Genomic DNA, 23,985 nt, shown 5'->3' with positions numbered 1-23,985 from the left:
AAGTTAGCAAATGCTGGGCTTTAGAACCCACTTCCTGTCTTCTTTAAACAAACGTCCGATACTTCCACATCTCTGTTTATCCGGCTGGCTGAGCGATCCAGGGGTAACCTCAGATTCATGTTTTCCATTCCAGGCTTTCCAACGCTCATTATTTTATAACAAATGCTTTCCAGTGACTGGGTATTTTTCCAGTGACAACTTAATTTTATTTCAACCTCAATTTAAAACACCTGTTGTCAGACAAGGGGGTTGTGGTTTTTCCCTATCAGGAGCAGGCACGGGGTAGTAGGAGACAGGTTTTTACCCAGGTGGGACTTTGCCATCCAAGCGTGGTGAAGAGTGAAAAGTTCCAAGGAGTGGAGGGAATATGAAAGGGAAGGATTAAACTCATGGTCCAAGGAGACTGTGCTGGGTAAGGAGGGTTGTAATAAGTGGAGAAGTTGAAGGATTGTGCATAGCTGCTGTGATCACTGGATTGCGAGTCTCTGTTCAGATGGAGATACAAGAAGTTTACTAAAAGATGAAGGGAGCTGTGTGTGGGTGCAGAGCAGGAAAGGTGAAATGGAGATTGAAGGGTGGGTGCAATCTCTGGTAATGAGAGACCTGAGCTATGACCATGGGACAGCGGCTGGAGCAGGATGGAGGACAGTCTCTGAGAGAGGAGGTGTATTAACGAAGAGACCAGGAGTACTGGAAAGGTCATCTTTGTGGACATGGAAATCATCAAGGTTTATAAAAGGAATAACATCAAAGAGAGGAGAAAGAAACAGATGCTTGAAAAAAAAAAAACTCTGTCTTGTGTTCACGGCTTTACGAGTTAAGCTGCTTACGTGAAGTGGTGCTTCGTTTATGACATGAGAGACCTTTTTACATCTAAATTTATTTGAATTTCACCAGCATCAGTCCAGATCTTTATCACTGGGTACATGGTGGGCACTCAGTGAATATTAGCTAATTGATTCATTTTGATTTGGCAGAATAGGAAAAAGAGTTGGCAAAAGAGTTCTGGGTATAGTGAGCACAGAAAGTGGCCAGCGCCCAGGGCTTGCTCCGGTGGGGCTTAGGGGCTTAACGTGCCGGTCAGACCGTGGATAAGACTGCCCCTCCAGGACCCCTCAAGCTCCTCTGAACTTCAGGCTGGAGCAGTGAAACCAGGGAGGGCACCAGGGACGTTCTGGGTTTTCTAGCCTGGCCTGTTCACAGACTGTTCTCCCAAAGCATCTCTGAGCTCAGGTAAACCACAGGCCCTTTTAGGGAGTTCTGGAGGGAGCAGCTGTCCTGATTCTCAACCCCTGTTCGAGGTTATAGCAGCTGAAGCTAAGGTGGTTGCTCTCCTTCACCTGTCTTCAGAATCAGGAGGCTAAGCCTATTCCCAGTCACATCCCTCATTCTTTAGACCACAGCGACGAAGCCAGCGATAACCACATTGTTGTAACCCCACAGATTTTTTTCTTTCCTTTTCTTTGAGACAGAGTCTTGCTTTATCACCCAGGCTGGAGTGCAGTGGTGGGATCTAGGCTCACTGCAACCTTCGCCTCCCGAATTCAAGTGATCCTCCCATCTCAGCCCCCCGAGTAGCTGGGATTACAGGTGTGCGCCACTAGGCCCAGCTGATTTTTTTAATTCTATTTTTAGTAGAGACGGGGTTTTCCCACGTTGGCCAGGCTGATCTCAAACTCCTGGCCTCAAGTGATCTGCCCACCTTGGCCTCCCACAGTGCTAGGATTACAGGCGTGACCCACTGCACCCATTTGTGACCCCACACAGTCTAACTTGAATAATATCCATTGTCCTGGGCTCTGGCATTCCAACTGAATTTCATTTATGATTTTCACCTTCCTAATGATCTGTTAACTTGTATATATATATTTATCTCTTCTTTCATCAGGAGAGGCATTGGAAGCAAAGAGTAACATAAAATTTGGCTTCTGATTGAATGGCTTTCTTGTGTCCAAAGTTTGACTGTCATCTTGTGTCCCAAGGACACGGCTTTCCTGGCAGCTCTGAGGAGGCATCTACTGGATTGTACCTAGAACCGCCCTGCTTTTCAGCAGGCAGACCCAGAAGCTGGTTGCATTGGAATCGGAGTAGTCTAGTTAATAAGCACTAAGCCTGTAGAGGGAAAAAAAAGGGCCCTTTGCAGTGGCTCATGCCTGTAATCCCAGCCCTTTGGGAGGCTGAGGCAGGCAGATCACCTGAGGTCAGGTGTTCGAGACCAGCCTGGCCAACATGGTGAAATCCTATCTCTACCAAAAAATACAAAAATTAGCTGGGCATGGTGGCATGCGCCTTTGGTCCCAGCTACTTGGGAGGCTGAGGTGGGAGAATTGCTTGAACCTGGGAAGCGGAAGTTGCAGTGAGCTATGATTGCACCACTGCACTCCAGCCTGAGTGACAGAGTGAGACACTGTCTCAAAAAACAAAAAAAATTTTGTTATGAAATCAGGCCAAACGAGTATACCATGCATGGTGATGCTGTCTTGGGCTAAGTACAGATTCACATATCTGCCATCTAAGTAGAAATTGACCAAGCATATGTGGAAGGGGTCCATGGAAGATTATTGGGGGTCCATGGAAGTTTCATAAGAGAGCAGCTCTTTGGGGCAGGCTCCTTAGGGTCTCTGGTTTGCAGCTGTTCTCAGTTCCTTTGATGATGCACTGGTCGACTTCCAGGTCCTTAGCGAGGGGGGTTTCTCTCACTGCAGATGGAATAGGGTGCCACTGCTTTTCACCATCTCTGTCACTTTGGCAGCTTTGCGACAGAACATTCCGCTTAGAACATGGAGGGTCTTCCCTGTTGCTAGTAACTTAGCAAGACAAACATTGGTTTGTTGTTGAGACAGCAATCGATTAGGGAGTGTATGTTTCAGTGGAGCTTGACTGCTTGGAAACCGGGCCAAAATGAGAAGCCAGTTGGAAAACCTCAGCCCAGATGTTTTCAATTAGCTCTTTGTTCTCCACAATGGATCCAAGGTGCTGTCGTTTGAGCCCTGACCAGCAGCCGTGAGAACAGACACGTTTCAGCAGGGCCTGGACGTCAGGAGACTGGCCCCGGGGTGCTTATCGACCTTGAAGAGCCTCCGTTTCTTTCCTTGGTTTTCTAATCTCTCCAATGGGAATGTTTTTATTTGCTTTTCTCTTACATCGTGGAAGCAGTAGAATGCATTGCTTTTCTGAAGGACTGGAAGAAGGAAAGGGAAAGGGAGGTTGAAAGCGTACCAGGCACATACATTACCTCATTGAGTCTCCATGGCAACCTGTTTGCTCAGCATCATTATTTTGCCTTTAGAAATGAGAAGCAGGTGTGGTGAGGTAGTCGACCACATCACACAGTGCCCCAGTGTGTGGCAGATGGAACTTGAACCCAGGTTTGTTTGACTATGTCTGCTGCTCTAGACTCCTAAAAGGAGCGGTGAGAAAAATGAGAGGTTTAGATTTGTTTTCTTTCATTTTGCAGTGGCACTTATAAAAATCACTATTTGAAAATCCTCTAGCACTTTATAATTAAAAAAAAATTATGGCCAAATGTACATCACATAAAATTTACCACCTTAACTTTTTGGATTTTTTTTCTGGAGACAGGGTCTCCCTGTCACCCAGGCTGGAATGCAATGGCACAATCACAGCTCACTGCAGCCTCAACCTTCTGGGCTCAAGCAATTCTCCCACCTTGGCCTCCTGAATAGCTGGGACTACAGGCGTGCGCCACCATGCCCAGCTAAATGTTTTGATTTTTAGTAGAGATGAGGCCTCGCTATATTGCCCAGGCTGGTCTCGAACTCCTGAGCTTGAATGATCCTCCCGCCTTGGCCTCCCGAAGTGTTGAGATTACAGGCATGAACTGTGCCCAGCCCAGCCTTAAACATTTTTAAGTGTCCAGTTCAGTAGTGTTAAGTATATTCACATTGTTGTGCAACCATCATCAGCAGAACTTTTCCATTTTGCAAAACTGAAACTGCACCGATTAAACAACCACCTCCATTTCTTTCTCATCCCAGGCCCTGGCAGCCACCACTCTACTTTCTGTTTCAATGAATTTGACTCCTCTAGATACCCCATACAATATTTGTCTTTTGGGATGGGCTTATTTCACTTAGCATAGTGTCTTTATTGCAGCAGGTTTCAGAGTTTCCTCCCTTCTGAAGGCTGACTAATATTCCATCGTATGGATAGACCACATTTTGTTAATGGAGACTTGGGTTGCTTCCACCTCTTGGCTATTGCGAATAATACTGTTATGAACACAGGTGTGTAGATATCTCTTAGAGACACTGTTTTCAATTCTTTTGCTGGATCATATGGTAATGTTATTTTTAATTTTTTAAGGAAACACCGTACTGTTTTCTATAGTAGCTGCACCATTTTGTGTTCCCATCAACAGTGCACAAGGGTTCCAGTTTCCATACCCTTGCCAGCACTGTCATTTTCTGTTTTTTTTGTTTGTTTTGTTTTGTTTTGTTTTGTTTTTGAGACGGAGTCTTGCTCTGTCACCAGGCTGGAGTGCAGTGGTGTGATCTCAGCTCACTGCAACCTCTGTCTCCCGGGTTCAAGCGATTCTCTGCCTCAGCCTCCCGAGTAGCTGGGATTACAGGCACGTGCCACCACGCCTGTCTAATTTTTTGTATTTTAGTAGAGACGGGGTTTCACCATGTTGGCCAGGATGGTCTCGATCTCCTGATCTTGTGATCCACCTGCCTTGGCCTCCAAAAGTGCTGGGATTACAGGCGTGAGCCACTGCCTGGCCCATTTTCTGTTTTTTTGATAGTAGCCATCCTAAGGGTGTGAGGTGGTGTTTCACTGTGGTTCACCCTCTAACACTTTGCACGCTGAATTCTCTACTTAGTGCAAGTGAGGCAAAAAAACAGGAGGTAAGCAGAGTCCCTTGGCGGCCTTCTGAAACATGATGAGGTGGCTCCGTGGGCCAGTCTGGCTGGGCTGTCTCTGAGCCAGCGATGGGAAATATTGGGAAGTAAGAGGAGCTGAATAGGAAGTCAAGGCCCAGGCTTCTGGGTTCAAGGGGTGGTGGGATAATCATGCCACTTCGTCCTCTTGCTATGGGAAAACCAAGGAGATACTACATGTGAAAATGCCTTAAAAACCTCAAACCAGGCCGGGCGCAGTGCCTCACGCCTGTAATCCCAGCACTTTGTGAGGCTGAGGCAGGCAGATCACGAGGTCAGGAAATCAAGACCATCCTGGCCAACATGGTGACACTCCATCTCTACTAAAATACAAAAAATTAGCCAGGGGTGGTGGCATGCGCCTGTCGTCCCAGCTACTTGGGAGGCTGAGGCAGGGGAATCACTTGAACCTGGGAGGCGGAGGTTGAAGTGAGCCAAGATCACGCCACTGCACTCCAGCCTGGCGACAGAGCAAGACTCTGTCTAAAAAAAAAACAAAAAACAAAAAAAACCCCACAAACCTCAAACCTTCAGTGGCAGGAGAGTTTACTTTTTCCCTGAAGGGTCAAAGTTCAGCCTCTGCTATGGATGGAAGGTGAGACTGGCTTATGCCATAATCAGTGTCACTAAAACATCATCATCATCGTCATCATTATCATCATCATCACTATTTTTAGTAACTGTGACCAGCAATGAACTAGGCACAGGCTTCGTAGTATCTCTAATCTGCACACAGCTGTGCAGCTGAAGTGTCATTGTTAGCCCCACTTTACTGATAAGAAAAAGGGCCCTTGACCAAGGTTATACAGCTAAGTGGCTGAACGAGAACTCAAACCCAGCTTGGTACCCAAAGCCCCGCTCTTTCCACTATCCCATGCAACTTCTGGGCTTAAATCTAACTTCTATCCTAATCATGTTAAATCTACTACATTCCCAGATCACATCAGGTGCTTACTGTGGTCCAGGAATCCCCATGGTTTAGAGTTATGTGCAATATCTTAATATAATAAAAATGGATGGCCACACACAGCTGCCAAAATTAGAGAAAAATTCTCTTTCCATGTGAGACACTGGTGCCCCGCAAAGACTCAGACCTGCATTGACGCAGCACTTGGTTTCTCTCCTCTCTGCCTCCTTCAGGGCCCATCTGGTTAGACAATCTCCACTGTACTGGCAACGAGGCGACCCTTGCAGCATGCACCTCCAATGGCTGGGGCGTCACTGACTGCAAGCACACGGAGGATGTCGGTGTGGTGTGCAGCGACAAAAGGATTCCTGGGTTCAAATTTGACAATTCGTTGATCAACCAGATAGAGGCAAGTCATGTGCTCTTGATGTTTCCTTCATGCAAACATTTTTCCTCTTCCATGCAACTCGCTTTTTGCGTATTGATTTCAAGAAGTGTGTGTGAGCAGGAAGGAGGGTACCTCACCCAATGGGATTAGATACAAGGGCAGTTTAGGGAAGGATTTCTGGAGAAGGGAATCCCATCCATGGGGAAAGGGCATTCCAGGCACAAGGAACAGCATGGGCAGAGGCACAGAGGTGTGAAGGTTGGGCTGGGGTAAGCAGAGCGTGATCTCAGGGAGAGTGCATCTGGGAGTAGGGTTAACTGAAGCTGGAAAGATGGGCATGAAACACCTCCGGTGCCATGCTCAGGAGCTTGCCCTTTGGGTGGGAAAATGTATTAGTTATCAATTGCTGCGTAACAAATTGCCCCCAGGTTTTGCAGCTGAAAAGAGTGAATCTTTATTATCTTGCACAGTTTGTGAGAGTCAGGAATTGAGGAAGGGCTTAGCTACTTGATTCTCCTCAGCGTCTCTCATGGAGTTGCACTCAGGCTGTCAATGGGGGCTGGAAGGTCCCCTCCCACGCAGGCTCTTATGGTTGTTGGCAGGCTGTGGTTCCTTGCTAGCTGTAGACTGCAGCCCTCTGTTCTTCTCTATGTGGCCTCTTCGTAGGCTGCCTGAGTGGCCTCAGGACATGGTGGTTGTCTTCCCTCAGAGTGAGTGAGGCAAAGGAGAGTGAGAGAAAGAACACAGGATGGAAGTCATGTTTCATAACTTAATCTTGGAAGTGATAGGCCATCATTTCTGCTGTATTCTATGGATCACACAGACTAACTCTGGTAGAGAGTGGGAGGAGATTACACAAATGTGTGACACCAGGTAGGGTTGCTGGGGCCATCTTGGAAGCTGGCTACCACTGGCCAATGTAGCTGAGGGTTGGAATCACTTTAAAAATGCAGGTACTGGGTCGGGCGCGGGGGCTTATGCCTGTAATCCCAGCACTTTGGGAGGCCGAGGCGGGCAGATCACGAGGTCAGGAGATCGAGACCATCCTGGCTAACACGGTGAAACCCCGTCTCTACTAAAAATACAAAAAAAAGAAAAAAAAATAGCCAGACGTTGTTGTGGGTGCCTGTAGTCCCAGCTACTCAGGAGGCTGAAGCAGGAGAATGGCGTGAACCCAGGAGGCGGAGCTTGCACTGAGCTGAGATCGCACCACTGCACTCCAGCCTGGGTGACAGAGCGAGACTGTCTGAAAAAAAAAAAAAAAATGCAGGTACTGGGGCCTCCCCACTGACCCGCTGACTCAAAATATCCTGCTATGGGACTAGGTTATTTTTCTTTAAGCAGCCCCAGATTGATTCTGATGTTGCCAGACTGATAATTTCAGCATTTGAAAATCCACATTTATGGCTAAATTTCAGGGTTAGCTTTCCAGCAAATTCTTTATCCAAACAGTTAACACACACTTATTACATTACTCTTATGTGCAACATATGTGGGGCTTAGGACAGGAGGAATTGGCAGCTAACACTCCTGTCCTCAAGGAACATGTCAGATGCCACCCCCAAGGGATTATGGGATCTGCCCCAAATCCAGACCAAGGAACCTTCGCTGTGCTTCAGCCTCCAGCTGAACCCAGCACTAATGCAGAAGAAAGGTGACTTGAAATTGCCCTACTTGGGTTCCAGAGGAAGTTCTCCCAAGACTGTGGCCTTTACTGTCATGGCTCACACAGTCCTTCTCTCTCCATATATGTTCCCAAGCGTGCTGGGAATTTGCCCAACCCTGCTGTATAGCATAGGAAAGGATTTCCAGGCTTCTCTCAGCTGTGGAGGAGACTGCTTATGGTTGACACCTGTCAAATGCTGCTATTTTATTGAAGATAACTAGAGAGATTGTGATGGAGTTGATATACTTTCGTCAGTCTTCAGTCACTGATGACAGCTTTGCTTTCTTTACCATGAAGTTTATGATCTGACGGATGGGCTTGTCCAACCCAGTTTCACAAAATTTTCCATCTTCATTCCTTATAACCTCATGAGCAATAATTAGCCCCCACTTATGTGGATCTTATCTCTCCCATGAGATTGGAAGCTCCCAGAGGGCAGGGGCTATATCTTATGTATCATTGTATGCAATAGATAAATTCTAGGTACCTAATGGGAACAACATCTCCAACTCCCAAATTCTCTTCTCCCCAGAAATGTGAGCCAGAAATTATTATCCCCTTAGGTGGAGAATCTCCCAGGATAAAATATTAAGCTAAACAGCAATGAGAAGCACATGGAAGCAAATAATTTCTTCACAGCTTGTTCTGCCTAATAGGACCATGAGCTGATTTGTAACATCTTAGATGGGCCTCTGTTCAACCTGAACCTCAGGATAATCTACTTGGAGTGTCCAGTGAAGACCCAGCCTTCTTGGCATAAGAAAGTCATTGATCATTGATGGCTTGAAAAAAAAAAAATAAGACAGGCCAAAACATCAGTGAGCTTTGTGTTGAGAAAATGATGAGAAGGCTCATCTGCCATTAGGAAAAAAAAAATGATTTTGGAAAAAGGACTCTGAGTGGCACTTCATTAGATTAGATTAGATTACCCAAACAATTAAATTAACACACACTGTTTGTGGAATACCTACTAAGTGCCAGTTCCAATGCTTAATAATTCCAGGGCGAAATAAGATGGGTCATTTCAAAAGCAGAATTTTCATGGGGTGGAATAAACACAGAAAAGACTGAAAAAGGCCGGGCGCAGTGGCTCATGCCCGTAATTCCCAGCACTTGGGAGGCCAAGGTGGGTGGATCACCTGAGGTCAGGAGTTCAAGACCAGCCTGGCCAAGATGGTGAAATCTCATCTCTACTAAAAATACAGAAATTAGCCAGGCATGGTGGTGGGTGCCTGTAATTTCAGCTACTCAGGAGGCTGAGGCAGGAGAATTGCTGGAACCTGGGAGGCGGAGGTTGCAGTGAGCCGAGATCCTGCCATTGCGCTCCAGCCTGAGCCAACAACAGCGAGACTCCGTCTAAAAAAAAAAAAAGAAGACTGAAAAAAAATATGTTGGAGACGACTTTCTTACTGTGGAAGGGCTGAGATTCCATGATGGGAAAGCTTAGCCCCACCTTTATTCTGGGCATTTGTTGGGTACCTGCTGGTTTGGGATACCAGCAGGGAAAGAAAACATGGCCCTTGTCCTCCAGCCCTTACAACCTGCAAGACAAGATGTACGCCTTGGAGAAAGCTGGAGATCCTTCCAAGGCAAGGAGCATGGGCCCTCACAAATCTCCAGAAACCCAGAGAGGGCAACCTATGGAGATGTCTGGCTTAAAGGGCCAGGTGACATCCACAGCCTTACACACTCTGCATTTTCCTAGAAGGCCTCCCTCTGGCTGTCAGACAGATCAGGCTGGTGACCACGAGCCAGGGGGACGCTTTCTGGCCCAACCACAGAGACTTAGGGAACTTTCATTGATGATCAGTCCCCTGCAACTTCTTCCCTTTGGTAGCCGCTGAAAGTAGGTCATGAAAGGGCCTAGACCTCAGGATGTCTGGGGAGAACCTCCTTGAGTTGCCAGAAGATTCTTGCATCCAGGGCTTTGTGGCTAAGGCTCATGCTTACTGGCAGTGCTGGCCTGATGGGTAGAGAACCGCCTGGACCACCTACGTGGGATATTTATGGGATGCTGAGACGTTTCTCCAAAATACCTTCTGGAATGGCCTGTATCAGTAGCTGAAGTCATAGGATCATTCCTCCCAGCTAAAGAAATGCCTGCTATTAAATTTTTGTGGATAAGAGGAAGAGACATAGCTTGTGGACGTGCAGTTGGGTGAAGTCATGAACATACTGACTAATGATACCCAGGGTGAACTGCTGACTAATTTGTGTAAACAGAGTGGATGGTCTCTGATGGTGAGCCCTAGGGCTCTGTTCCGGCCTCCCCATCATGTATCAGGAATGTTCATGGAAATTAAAAGGTATACTGATAAAATCTATGGGAGATACAAAACTAGGAGAGATTGCTGGAGTATAAAATTATGGAATGAACTTTCAGAAAAACTGCTGTAGGTTGAAATAATGGGCCCAAGCTGTAACATATTAGGGATGAATAGAAGGTCCTATATCAAAGTTCATGGGGAAAAAAACAGTCACAGAGTGCAGACTTTAGGGAGAGTAACTGAAAAACTATTGATCTTTTTTTTTAAAAGGCCTGTTGGGTTGGCTCACATCTGTAATCCCAGCACTTTGGGTGGCAGAGGTGGGCAGATTGCTTGAGCCCAGGAGTTTGAGACCAGCCTGGGCAATATGGCAAGACCGTGTCTCTACCAAATTAAAAAAATTAACGTGGCATGGTGGCATGTGCCTGTGGTCCCAGCTACCTGGGAGGCTGAGGTGGAAGGATTGATTGACCGTAGGAAGTGGAGGCTGCAGTGAGCCATGATGGTGCCACTGCATTCCAGCCTGGGTGACAACAGGGCGAGACCCTGTCTCAAAAAAAAAAAAAAAGAACAAATCTTTGAAGCGGCAGTGGTTGACTAAAAGCTCAGTATCAGCCAAGAGTATGATAGGGCTGCTAAAAAAAAAAAAAAAAAAAAAAAAAAAAGTGAATGTCAACTGCTTTACAGATAGAAGAATTATTTCCTTAAGCTCCTTGCCTTTTGGACCAGTCGCTGACTGCAGGGTTCAGTTCTGGATCCAGATCTTAACCAGGTCACCAGAGGAAAGGCCAACAGGATGGAGACAAATCTGGAAACCATATCATGAGGAAATGAAGTTTTTTGTCAAGAAAAGAGATATGGGGGGAGATGGTTCTCTTCAAATACTTGAACTACTACCATGCAGAAGAATGTTTAGAATGTATCCCAACTCCCGGCCGGATGCGGTGGCTCACGCTTGTAATCCCAGCACTTTGGGAGGCCGAGGCAGACAAATCATGTGAGGTCAGGAGTTTGAGACCAGCCTGGCCAAGATGGTGAAACCCCGTCTCTACTAAAAATACAAATTAGCTGGGCATGGTGGCAGACGCCTGTAATCCCAGCTACTTGGGAGGTTGAGGTTGAACCCGGGAGAGGGAGGTTGCAGTGAGCCGAGATGGTGCCATTGCACTCCAGCCTGGGCAACAAGAGCAAAACTGTCTCAAAAAAAAAAAAAAAAAAAAAAAAAAAATATATATATATATATATTCCAACTCCCAGAGCCAAGGCGGAGAGGAGCGTGATGGAAGATAGATCTCAGGCTCAGTGGAAGCCCCACAGTAGATAGCTCTACCCTAAGTTAGTGGTGAGCTCCTTGTCAGTGGAGGAATTCAAGCACGAACTGGACAACATCCTGCCAGGAGTATTGTGGTCAGATGCCTACATGGGGAGGGAAGTGGGATTAAGTGATTGCCAAGTTTCAAGACCCTTGTTATTCAGTGTCTGGGAAAATGCACTCATCCCACATAGTGTGTGCCCAGCTGGATATTGACATCGCGCACCATGTGTAAACTGGCATCACATGTGTGTGAGAACACACACACACACACACAGAGAAGGGATGCCAACCAGCATGTGTATTGTGTGCTTGGGTTCTCTCTTTGCCTTTTCTCCAGCCCCTGATGGCCTTGACTTTGAAACCAGGTGCAGACTTTTCACTCTTCATATCAAAGTGTGAGAGTTAAAGCCCTCCCTCGACTTTCCCCAGTTTGGAAGGGGCAGATTCAAAAGCGGCCAGGAATGAAACGTCAGTGAATGATTTCTCTGTGTCTTGTGACCCTGGTCGTAGACCACTGGGCTAATGAATGTGATGAGGGCACCCGCGTCCCTTCCCATGCCTACTCTGTCTGCAAGGTTGTGGGCTGGGTTCTGTAACATTCACCCTCATTAACCCCTGGAGATTGGGGACAGGTCACAGATCATTACAGATGACTCTCACAACCCATGCTTCCTCCAGAGTGCACTGGAATTCCCAAAGCAGAGAATGGAAGAAAACTGCATCAGTCTAGACCAAATTCATCCTACTCTGGAATGCCAGAGGCATGAGTCACTAAGCCCTGGAGCCTGGCTGATGGAATTTCACTTAATGAGCTAACTGTGCTTCCCTGGACTCCTACAGCTGCTTGGAGCATCCTTGGGGGCTCCTGATAGTTTGTAAATTCCCCTCTAGAGGAGGAAAAAAAATCACACCTTCTTCATATAAGTGACCCCACCAAGGTTTGTACCCTAACCTGCCTTTTGACCAGCATCCAGAACAACTGGGCAAGTGTCGAGTGAGTTGAATTCAATCCCTTCCAGCTGTGACGGCCTGTAGTTCAGTGGCAATGGTTTCTTCATCAGAATGACATAGTGTGCATTCATCATTTACAAGGTAGTTTTAAATATTCTGTAGGGGAAAAAAATCAGATGATTTCTCTAAAAGTGCTTTGCAGACTTCGAAGTGCTGCCCTGGGTTAGTCCTACCACTGAATCACTCACTAGGCTTGGTTTATTTCATCCAGGAAATTAACCAGGCAGGTTCTCAGTTTTCCCCTTTTCTGATACAGGCTGTGCCATCATATCTTATTGTATATTCTCAGTTTCGGACTCCAGAATTGAAGGCAGAACCCCCGGGTTCCAGTCCCAGTGGAGACTGGAGCTCACAGCTGTTATGTCCAGTCACTGACCCTTCTTGGGCCTCTGGACACTGTCCTATAAAACAGAAGTTTGTCTGGATATAAAGAAAATCAGTTTTAGGTCAATCCTCAAAACTTTCTTAAAAGGAGGTAAGTAGGAGCAAATAAGCAAATGTGAAACACTCTTGGCTCCAAACGAACAGATCTCTTTTAAACCTGGCAAACAGAGCCCCAACCAAACCTCCCAGGATTTCAGAGCCTCTTAAATTGAGAGGCTTTGTTTCCTGCCTGTGGCGGGTAGACCAGTTGGAAAAAGCATTAGATAAGGAAAGATGACAAATCCAGATGCCCTACTCAGTAAACCTCTGCTCCCCGGCTGCTCCGCACGTTGCCCAGTCATGTGCTCACAGGAAGCCTTGTGGCTGGGCTGTGTGTCGTTAGATCAGGGAAGGTTTTCATCTTTTCTCTTTTCTTCACCCCATCCCTCCCCACCTCACCCCACCCCACTCCACCCCTCCCCACCCCACCCCACCTCCTTCCTTACCTATCCTTTAAAGGCTCTTTTGCAAAAAGCAATTCCATTGCCGGAACTGATTGGAAAATCCCCAGGCTGTGAGATTTAGGTGCTGCCTATCCCCTGAGTGACCTCCAAGCCTCAGTTTCCCGTTTGTGAAAGTGGGCAGCCCAGGAGGTCTTGAGGGGCCAACAGAGGGACGATGAGGACAGAACGAGGAGAAAGCCATTTCTTTCCACCCAAGGGGAGAACCTGGTCCCCCATTCTCTGCTCTCTCGCGTTCTTCTGGAAGGACGCTGAGACCTGAAAAAGCCCTTTCTTCTCATCTTAACCACAGAGACTGAGGCTGCTGTGAATTTTTTAAATGCCTTGGGTCCAGGTTTTTATTAGTCACAGTTAGCTGCCAAATGTTTCAGCATTGCCCTCCCAGCAGCAGCTCTGTCTGTCTGGGGGCGGCAGAGGGTGGAGGGCTTCAGCCTAAAAGGGAAAGGTCTCTAGAAGGACTTCTGAAAAGTCTGAACCCTTCCCAGCCAGGAATCTCATCCTTCTCCTGACTCCCACCAGAGAGGTTGCACTGGGTGGTTTGGGGAAAAAAGGGGGCCTATTTTCACCTCTGTGCAGTTTAGAAGATAGTGGTCCCCCCATGCCTAAATAGAGGCCCCATTCCCAGATGGTCACGGGGTAGCTGGATGGCCTCTCTCTGTAGGAGGAAGAGAAATGGTAGCCAGGGGGTAGTTTGTGCCGGACTTTTCAGCAAGGGCACAAGGACCCATGGTGGAGGCCCACAGCCTCTGAACTCTCAGTTTTGCTCAACTGTCTGGCTGGACAATTAGATGTAGCTCTCCTGGGTTTTGTCTCTCGCCCTTCTTGGGCAAGAGGATGTATAACATCCTGTCCAGGGCTGGGCACGGTGGCTCACGCCTGTATTCCCAGTACTTTGGGAGGCCAAGGTGGGGGGGATCACTTGAGGTCAGGAGTTCGAGACCAGCCTGGCCAACGTGACGAGACCCCCATCTCTACTAAAAATACAAAAAATTAGTTGGGCATGGTGGTGTACACCTGTAGTCCCAGCTACTCGAGAATCGCTTGAACCCAGGAGGTAGAGGTTGCAGCCACTGCACTCCAGCCTGGGCAACAGAGCGAGACTCCATCTCAAAAAGAGAGAAAAAGATCCTGTCTAGCCCTCACATTCCGCGATTCTATTTACTAAGAGTCTATATGTAGCCAGGGCTTGCCAGCTACCAAAAGGGACACACAAAGCAAGTAGTTCTAAGGTGACCTATTTTCCCAACTGAAAATCTGAAATGCAAAAGGGTGTGTATGTGGATAACAGATGGGAACCTGGTTTCTGGCCCAGGTGTTGCAGATACAATGCTTTGAAAAGTATAAATACCATTATAACTCTGTGAGATGAAATAAACCAATACATAACATTCTATTTATTTGTTAGATTGCACACATGAATAAGGAGGCTTATAATTTGTTTTAGATGAAATAAATAAATGAACAGGATGTACTCAAACTTTGAAGAATGTGATTGGGTGCTTAATGGCATGGCAGTTTGGAGAAGAGAGAGGTGAATGAGGAAACCTGTGGGACAGTTGCTATCTGGAGGAAGTGGGGGCTTGAGCTGGGCTGGAGGAAGCCTCTCCCTGCCCTAGATGGGCAGGTCCGCTCTGCAGGGAGGTCTGGTGATGTGACTAGGGCAGAGTGGGCAGCGGTCAGCCTGGTTCTGCAATGAGCCTAAGTGGCTTATTTGAGTCACCTCAGCCATGCTGGGTGTCAGTGCCAAGGAATCCCCCGACCCCATCCCCAGGAGTCCGTTGCTAAGGATCTGTTTATTCATTCACTCAATACATTTTGATTCAGCACCAGACCCTACACTAGACATGAGGATAAAGGGAGTGATGGAACGGACCGTCTTGCCCATCCTGAGCTTACCATCCAGCAGTGGAGAAACAGTCTCATGCCTCATGACTGTGTTACCATGGTGATGATGGCTGTGAAGAGAACTACCAGATTCACCATGAGGTTGTGTGGTGGGTGGTCAGGCCTGACCAGGACAGGAGGAACTGCTGGGTCACAGGGGCTGGTTGTTGGAGCAGGTGTCCCGCCGACTTCCTGCTGACAGCAGGGCTTGCCCGTTCTCCAAAAAAGCAGCCTCTGTTACCTACCCAAGTGGCTGCCTGCTTGGAAAATGAAACACAGAGCATTCAGTTTTCCAGCAGTGTTACAAAGCTTTTGATTTATAGGAGGAAGACCCCAACAGACTACCGGCTCTTTCCTTTGGGGGTGTCAGCATGACCTCAGCTCTCCAGGCCTCCACTGGCCTCTATTGCCTAGAGCTGAGGAACAGAAATTGTTGAAATGCCTTTCCTCTGTCACTTTCTTCCATCAAGAAGTCACAGGCTAAAGAATGTTACCAGCAGCTTATTTTTTGTTGAGATGGAGTTTCGCTCTTGTTGCCCAGGCTGGAGTGCAATGGCGTGACCTCAGCTCACTGCAACCTCCGCCTCCTGGGTTCAAGTGATTCTCCTGCCTCAGCCTCCTGAGTAGCTGGGATTACAGGTGCGTGCCACCACGCCCAGCTAATTTTTGTATTTTTAGTAGAGCCCCATGTTGGCCAGGCTGGTCTCAAACTCCTGACCTCAGGTGAACTGCCCGCCTCGGCCTCCCAAAGTGTTGAGATTACAGGTGCGTGCCACTGTGCCCAGTCCCCCAGCAGCCTCTTAAACTAAGAGTTTCTGATTGGATCATCAAAAGGGGATAATTACAACATAGCCAGACTCCTGGAGTACAGCATGCCTCATACTGTGTGCAGATAATACACACTTAGCCAAGCCATCTAACTGCGTGCTGAGGATCAGACGGCTTTTAATTCAGTTCAGTAACTATGTGTTGGTGTCAGATCTCAAGGGAAAAGGGGAGAGGGTGTTAGGGAGCTCAGGTGACAAAAGGATGCCTGGACAAAGCACAGATGTTCTCCTGTCTATCCATAAGTCACACAAGTCGTGCTTATGTTAGGAAGAGAGATGAGGACTGCATAACTTTATTTTGCATTAAACAAAGAATAAAAAGAGTCTTTATTAAAATGTTGGACTTGGGCACTCAGCATGTCTAGCTAAGCTAAACTCCTGTTGTTGGATTTTGAAAAAATCATTACTGGTTCCTTCCAAATATGTTTGGGGACCCACTCTGTGTCTGGCTATAGTGGGTCCTCAAACATGGTTGGAAGGAACCAGTAATAATTTCTTACTGTGTGGGTAATACAAAAATGAATAAGGCACAGTTTTGCCCTTAGGGGATTCACAGTCCAATTGAGTGGCAAAAGGATGTGGAAAAGTAAACCCTAGTGCAAGATAGTCAGTATAAGCCAAGAACTCAATGAGTCACCAGAATGCCAGTGCTGGAGGAATAAAGAAGAAATCAAACGTGTGGACGTCCTATTTGGGGGCAGGGGAGGGGGCTTCACAGAGATGCTGGTGCTGCCTCTCCTCCTCTAGATTAGGGACCACATGACAGCGAGGACCATGCCTATCTGTCCTTTTAGGGTCTCACACAGCACTTGGGACATGGTGGCACTGGACAAATATTTTTGAATGGATGAATAACATTTTCCCTGAGGATTGGCAGGATTCTGATAGATAGAAAGAAGGGACAGAGAATGGCAGGGTATGGGCCTAACGCGGAGGCACCACCAGGAAGATCTGAGCGAGACCCTTGAATGCACTGTGGTCAAAGAGGATGAACGGATGGGAGAAGAAACCAGAGGCGAGGAGACAGCACAGGCCTAGGTGAGATGACGACATTATCACGCCCTTCTTATGTTCCCATGATTCTCCTTGCACAGCTGACTGGGAATTGGGAGTGGGAATGGCAAGCTGATAGAAGGGCAAAGAAGGTCTGGCTAGGGCTTAATGGGCGCATGAGTGAAGAAGAGAGAGGGTCACGAAGGTCTGCAAAGCTAGAGGCAGGAGCATCCCTCAATGACTCGATGAAAAGAGGAAGAGTTGAGGGCATCTTGGATGTGTTTGGTCTCAGGTGCTGAGGAAGGTGTCAAGCTGGCAGTTGGGACATGGGTCTGTATCTGGGAGGCCACTGTTGTTGTTTTTTTGTTTGTTTGTTTTGTTTTTTTTGAGACGGAGTCTTGCTCTGTCGCCCAGGCTGGGGTGCAGTGTCGTGATCTCAGCTCACTGCAAGCTCCGCCTCCCGGGTTCATGCCATTCTCCTGCCTCAGCCTCCTGAGTAGCTGGGACTACAGGTGCCCGCCACCATGCCCAGCTAAATTTTTGTATTTTTAGTAGAGACGGGGTTTCACCGTGGTAGCAGGGATGGTCTCGATCTCCTGGCCTCGTGATCCACCCGCCTCGGCCTCCCAAAGTGCTAGGATTACAGGCGTGAGCCACCGCACCCGGCCGAGGCCACTGTTTTGTTTTGTTTTGTTTCTTAGAAGATCTCGCTCTGTCACCCAGGCTGGAGTACAGTGGCACAATCCTAGTTCACTGCAGCCTCAAACTCCTGGGCTCAAGTGATTCTCCCACCTCAGCCTCCTGGGAGCTAGGACTATGGGCAGGTGCCACCGTGCCCAGCTAATTTTTTTTTTTGTTATTATACTTTAAGTTCTAGGGTACGTGTGCACAATGTGCAGGCCCGTTACATAGGTATACATGTGCCATGCTGGCCCGCTGCACCCATCAACCCATCATTTACATTAGGTATTTCTCCCAGTGCTATCCCTCCCCCCTCCCCCCACCCCACGACAGGCCCCGGTGTGTGATGTTCCCCTCCCTGTGTCCAACTGTTCTCATTGTTCAATTCCCACCTACGCGTGAGAACATGCGGTGTTTGGTTTTCTGTCCTTGTGATAGTTTGCTCAGAATGATGGTTTCCAGCTTCATCCATGTCCCTGCAAAGGACATGAACTCATCCTTTTTTACGGCTGCACAGTATTCCATGGTGTATATGTGCCACCTTTTCTTTCTTTTTTTTAATTATACTTTAAGTTCTAGGGTATATGTGCCACATTTTCTTAATCCAGTCTATCATTGAAGGACATTTGGGTTGGTTCCAAGTCTTTGCTATTGTGAATAGTGCTGCAGTAAACATACATGTGCAAGTGTCTTTATAGTAGCATGATTTATAATCCTTTGGGTATATACCCAGTAATGGGATCGCTGGTGCCCAGCTAATTTTTTAACTTTTTTTTTTTAGAAATGAGGTCTCATTCTGTTGCCTAGGCTGGTCTTGGACTCCTGGCCTCAAGCTATCCTCCTGCTTCAGTTTCTCAAAGCACGAGGATTATAGATGTGAGCCACCACACCCAGCCTGTTTTGTTTTTATTATTTATTTATTTATATTTTTTTGAAACGGAGTCTCAGTCTTTCGCCCAGGCTGGAGTGCAGTGGTGCAATCTTTGCTCACTGCAAACTCCGCCTCCTGGGTTCAAGCGATTTTCCTGCCTCAGCCTCCCAAGTAGCTGGGATTACAGATGTCTGGCTAATTTTTTTTTGTATTTTTAGTAGAGACGAGGTTTCACCATGTTAGTCAGGCTGGTCTCGAACTCCTGAGCTCAAATAATCTGCCCACCTTGGCCTCCCAAAGTGCTGGGTTCACAGGCATGAGCCACCGTGCCCCACCTATTTATTTATTTATTTTTGAGATAGAGTCTTGCTCTGTCACCTCAGCTGGAGTGTAGTGGCGCAATCTCGGCTCACTGCAACCCCCACCTCCCAGATTCAAGTGATTCTCTTGCCTCAGCCTCCTGAGTCGCTGGGATTACAGGCATGCACCACCATACCCAGCTAGTGTGTGTGTGTGTGTGTGTGTGTGTGTGTGTGTGTGTGTTTGTGTGTGTTTAGTAGAGATAGGGTCTCACCATGTTGGCCAGGCTGGTCTTGAACTCCTGACCTCAAGTGATCTGCTCACCTCAGCCTCCCAAAGTGCTGGGATTAGAGGCGTGAGTCACCATGCCCTGCCCTGTTTTGTTTTTAAATAGCCAAAGTAAGAAAGCTGCAGGCTCTGAGAGGAAGATGCAGGAACTTGCTGGTGGTTGTGGGAGGCTGCATGCGAGGTGAGCAGAGGCTGGCTAGAGTTGACACTCATGCATTCTCGTTGAGATGTTGGCATGATGTTATGTCTTCCCAGCATTGTCCTGCCACCCCTCCTCACCCTCAGGATGACTTCTCAGGTCAGAAAGCCTGGGCTGATATTAAATTATGACTTCTAGAACAGGGGGAAGGAGAACAACCACTGAGCTAAGACAACGTGCCTGGTGCTGAGAGTTTAGAGCGACTGTGATGTGGATTCATGTAGGCTGGCTTGCTTGACTTGCTTCTCCTTGTACCTTTCCCTGATGCAACTTCCAGCTAGACTTTCAAAATGGGTGATTTTTCCTCATTGGCGACAGCCCCAGACTATCGCATTCTGGAATTTGCAAGTCATGGACAGATGCTGCAAATATGAAATGTCATTTAGGCATAAACCTGAGAGTCAGAGCTCAGAGCTCCCTTCCTCTCCGGCTGACGTGACAAGTCCCTTGCATGGTCGTGCCTTGGTTTTCCCTTCTAGGAACGGGTGCAAATCACTCCCAGAGTCTCAGGCCCTGCCAGAGGATGTGATGAGCTCTGAGGACCACACATCCTGGAGTTTCTGTGTCTTTCTTGGAGGGAAGCTTTCTGGAGTCCTGGGTGCACTGTTGTCTCTGGCAAGAGGGATAGCATCAGGTTTTAGCTTGAATTTTAATATGTGCAGGGTGCTTGACCAGCTTCTGGCATTTGGGGCTGAATTTTATTTTATTTTATTTTATTTATTTTATTTTATTTTATTTTATTATTTTATTTATTTTATTTTATTTTTTATTTTATTTTATTTATTTTATTTTATTTTATTTTATTTTAATTTTATTTTATTTTATTTTATTTTATTTTATTATTTTATTTTATTTTTGAGACGGAGTCTCGCTCTGTCGCCCAGGCTAGAGTGCAGTAGTGTGGTCTGAGCTCACTGCAACCTCCGCCTCCCAGGTTCACACCATTATCCTGCCTCAGCCTCCCGAGTAGCTGGGACTACAGGCGCCCGCCACCATGCCTGGCTAATTTTTTGTATTTTTAGTAGAGACAGGGTTTCACCGTGTTAGCCAGGATGGTCCCAATCTCCTGACCTCGTGATCCGCCTGCCTCGGCCTCCCAAAGTGCTGGGATTACAGGCGTGAGCCACTGAGCCCGGCTGGGGCTGAATTTTAAACTAGCAAGTCTAGACTGCCTTTCATTTAAAAAAGAAAAAAAAGTGTGTGTATATTTTAATATTTCACACTTTCTTTTCACTTTTGGGGCTGAACTCCTGGGGCAAAATGTATCCTAACACTTGTGGTTATGGAAGGGATTCCACAGCAGTGAAGTAAAGAGAGAGGTTATGTGTGTGGGCGTGTTTTCTAAGAGGTCTAACTCAGTCTCCATGAGCTGGTTAGCTAGTGTGAGCACCGAATGTGTGCCCCAGAGGGCTTCCCTGCCTCCTCCCGCTGGCCTGAAGACAAGAATGCTGGGAGCCCAGCTCTCCCCTCACGTACACAATCCAGTCTGACTCACTGCCCCTCGACATGGGGTGCTGGGCTTCCAATGTGCACAGCACCAGCACCCTTCAGCTGGTTGAAGGGGACACCCAGAATTCTGAGCTCCAGGCCCTGCCCTGGGTGAGTCACCCTCAGTACCAGGCAATGTATTGGACACAGGCATGAGATGAGGACTGCTCAGAGACCAGTGGTCATTATGAGCCTGGAGCACGGGTTTGGGGGTCAGAACTCAATTTGCATACTTGTTTACCTACTTACTGGCTGTGTGAACTTGGATAACTTCCAAAAGCTTGCCAAGATTTATCATGTTTTTACCTCTAAACAGGTGGACCATGAGCCATCTTGAAAGCTGCCATGGGGATTGAATAATGGAGTGGATGTAAAGTTTTCTGTATGGAACCTAGCCTGCAATTAATTGGTGTTTGATAAATGATGCCCATAGCTGTCATTATTCAAAGCTGACACAGGGCGCTGTGGTTGGGGTGTAAGGAGGAAGCCCAGCAAGGCCCAAGGAGGGCAGAGACTGCATTTTGTTAAATGAATGCATACGGTAGATTTGAGCCTTAAAGACTGGAAAGGCTTTGGTTCTTTGGAGGGAGAAGAAGAGAAGACGGTCCAGTTTGAAGGAATGAGTGCGAATGGTGTCCTGACTGTTTTCCTAAGGCCTTGCAAGGAACACGATCCTTTCAGAATTTCCTCCACCACAAGACACATAAACAGATGCACACTTTATACATACAGAGACCCATGTGACATAGACACATACAGGGAGAGTGCACAGAGATCCACATGACACACCGGCACACACACACAACCCTGTCATGCATACATCATCATGCACACAGACACACAATCCCAGAGACACACAATCCCAGAGACACACACACAGAGACATATACAGGGGCTCATATGACACATGGACATGCAGACACTCAGAAACACACCATCATGCATATACCCCCGTGCACACACAGAGACACAGAGATACACACCACACACAGACCATCAAGCACACACCACCATGCACACACACAGACACAGAGATACACACCACACACACACAGACCATCAAGCACACACCACCATGCACATACACAGAGATGCATAAACACGTATGCAGTGAGTCGGTGGAAGAATGAGGATAATGACCCCCGGTGCTAGCCCTTTCTCTTCTCCAGGCTGCATTGCCTTCATCGTGGAGCCCCCGGGGCTCTCCCCACCAGCCCTATTCAGCGGAGGAAACTGTCCCGCATCATCGCAGGAACGAGAGCAAGCTCCCTTGGCGTTTGGGTTGGTGTGTGCTGGCCTCAGGCCCGCGTAGCTCTTTCCAGCGGGGTCTGCTGAGCTCCTCCAGCCAGGCCTTCTTCCTCCTCCTGTGGTGGCCAGGTGCTGGGGGTCACACCTTCCCTGCAGCGAGCCTGCACTGCTGCCCAACGCAGGGGAAAGGATCTGTGAACTGAAGGTCAGCCCGGGCCGCCTGCCCTGTGAAGTGCAGTCTTGATGCTAGGCAGTAACTTTCCTTCTGGGCATGACAGTTACACACTGGAATTCCAGCCCAGCCTCCCGAGGTGGGAAGAGACAGAAGAGGGCCGGCTTGTGGGCTGGGTTTAGACCTCAGGCCCTTTCTTGGCTCACCCCTGTCCACGTGTCTTGGTGGCACGGGTCCTGCGGCCTGAATGAGGGCTGTAAAGGATCCAGGATCCAGGCTGGAAGGCATAATCCTGCCCCTGGCAGCATTCCTTCTGCTGTGGTGGAAAGGAAACGGAGCCAAGTGCCATCACTCCAGGCCCACATACTTTCCACCGCCTTGCAGGACCTGAGAGTAGGGCCTGGCTGTGGACCCTGAAGCCCATGGCGAGGAGACGTGAATCCCTGGGCACCCAAAGAATGGTTCTGTTCAAACTCGTGGTTCATTTGCATCTCAGTTGGACAGGGCTGGGGCAGTCGGGGTGCTGGGTTCCTCCTGCCTTCCAGCCCGGCTTGGACCAGCCCCACCTCCCAGTCCCTGGCCCGCCCACAGTGTGTGTGTCTTCCACTGCACCTCGGGGTGGCCCTAGGGAGGGAACTGGAGTCAGCTGGTATTCTCATCTGTAAGGTGGGGATGGCAGTAGCTATCAACCACCTCATTACAGCGTGCGAGGGTTAAGTAGGAGAATGCAAGGAAGACACTTGACATAGGGCTGGGTACCTGGTGCATGCTTTGCGGTAGCTGTTGCTATTATATACTGCAATTCATGGTGTTTGTGGATCCATGTGAAGCTGGGGACAGTGAGGGGGCTGGAGGCATAAGTGGAATCAGTCCTGAATGGCCGAGAGCATCTTGCTCAATATTAGGGTATTACATAGACAAAGAGGAGCTAGTCAAGGGACAAGGTTAGATCTGTGTTTTAGAAAGAGCCAGCTGCAGTGCCTCATACCTGTAATTCCAGCACTTTGGGAGGCTGAGGTGGGAGGATGCCTTGAGGCCAGGAGTTCGAAACCAGCTTAGGCAACATAGTGAGACCTCGTCTCTGAAATATATTTTAAAATTAGCTGGGCGTGGTGATGTACACCTCTACTTCCAACTACTTGGGAGACTGAAACAGGAGGATCGGTTGAGCCCAGGATATGGAGACTGCAGTGAGCCCTGATCACACCACTGCACTCCAGCCTGGGCAACAGAGTGAGACCCTGCCTCAAAAAAGAATAAAAATTAATTAATTAAAAGAAAAAAAAGGCCGGGCACGGTGGCTCATGCCTGTAATCCCAGCACTTTGTGAGGCCAAGGCGGGCTGATCATGAGGTCAGGAAATCGAGACCATCCTGGCTAACATGGTGAAACCCTGTCTCTACTAAAAATACAAACAATTGGCCGGGTGTGGTGGCGTGCGCCTGTAGTCCCAGCTACTTGGGAGGCTGAGGCAGGAGAATGGCGTGAACCCGGGAGGCGGAGCTTGCAGTGAGCCGAGATCGCGCCACTGTACTCCAGCCTGGGCGACAGAGCGAGACTCCGTCTCAAAAAAAAAAAAAAAAGAAAAAGAAAAAAGAGGCTCTTTGGTGGCTGGCCCTGTGGCAGACAGACGGAGGCAGGAACTCAGTCAGGGACTGTCGCAAGAGCTGGTGATGGCTGGCCATGAGTGATTTA

General features: G+C 48.0%; 1 protein-coding gene and 1 long non-coding RNA gene across 2 annotated transcripts in view, besides 1 other annotated feature; one reads left to right on the top strand and one right to left on the bottom strand.

Moving 5' to 3' along the window:
• LOXL2 (lysyl oxidase like 2) overlaps positions 1-23,985 on the top strand; it is a 107,224-nt gene that overhangs the window by 37,814 nt on the left and 45,425 nt on the right. The window contains exon 3 of the mRNA NM_002318.3: positions 6,042-6,217. Within this exon, the coding sequence (NP_002309.1) occupies positions 6,042-6,217 (176 nt within the window). The remainder of the gene's footprint in view (positions 1-6,041; positions 6,218-23,985) is intronic.
• The window catches only part of LOXL2-AS1 (LOXL2 antisense RNA 1), a 29,918-nt gene continuing 6,114 nt past the window's right edge, over positions 182-23,985 (bottom strand). Inside the window, exon 3 of the long non-coding RNA NR_038323.1 lies at positions 182-3,181. This is a non-coding gene — a long non-coding RNA (LOXL2 antisense RNA 1). The remainder of the gene's footprint in view (positions 3,182-23,985) is intronic.
• Positions 13,327-13,909: an enhancer, noted in NCBI's record as "H3K27ac hESC enhancer chr8:23209911-23210493 (GRCh37/hg19 assembly coordinates)". NCBI's record gives its function as "activates a minimal SCP1, AML or CMV promoter by ChIP-STARR-seq in primed H9 embryonic stem cells {active_cell/tissue: H9 hESC(primed)}" and the evidence as "EXISTENCE:reporter gene assay evidence [ECO:0000049][PMID:30033119]".

This window comes from Homo sapiens, chromosome 8 (assembly GCF_000001405.40).
Source record: "Homo sapiens chromosome 8, GRCh38.p14 Primary Assembly".
Taxonomy (NCBI): domain Eukaryota; kingdom Metazoa; phylum Chordata; class Mammalia; order Primates; family Hominidae; genus Homo; species Homo sapiens.
This window is presented reverse-complemented; position numbering and strand designations above follow the sequence as displayed.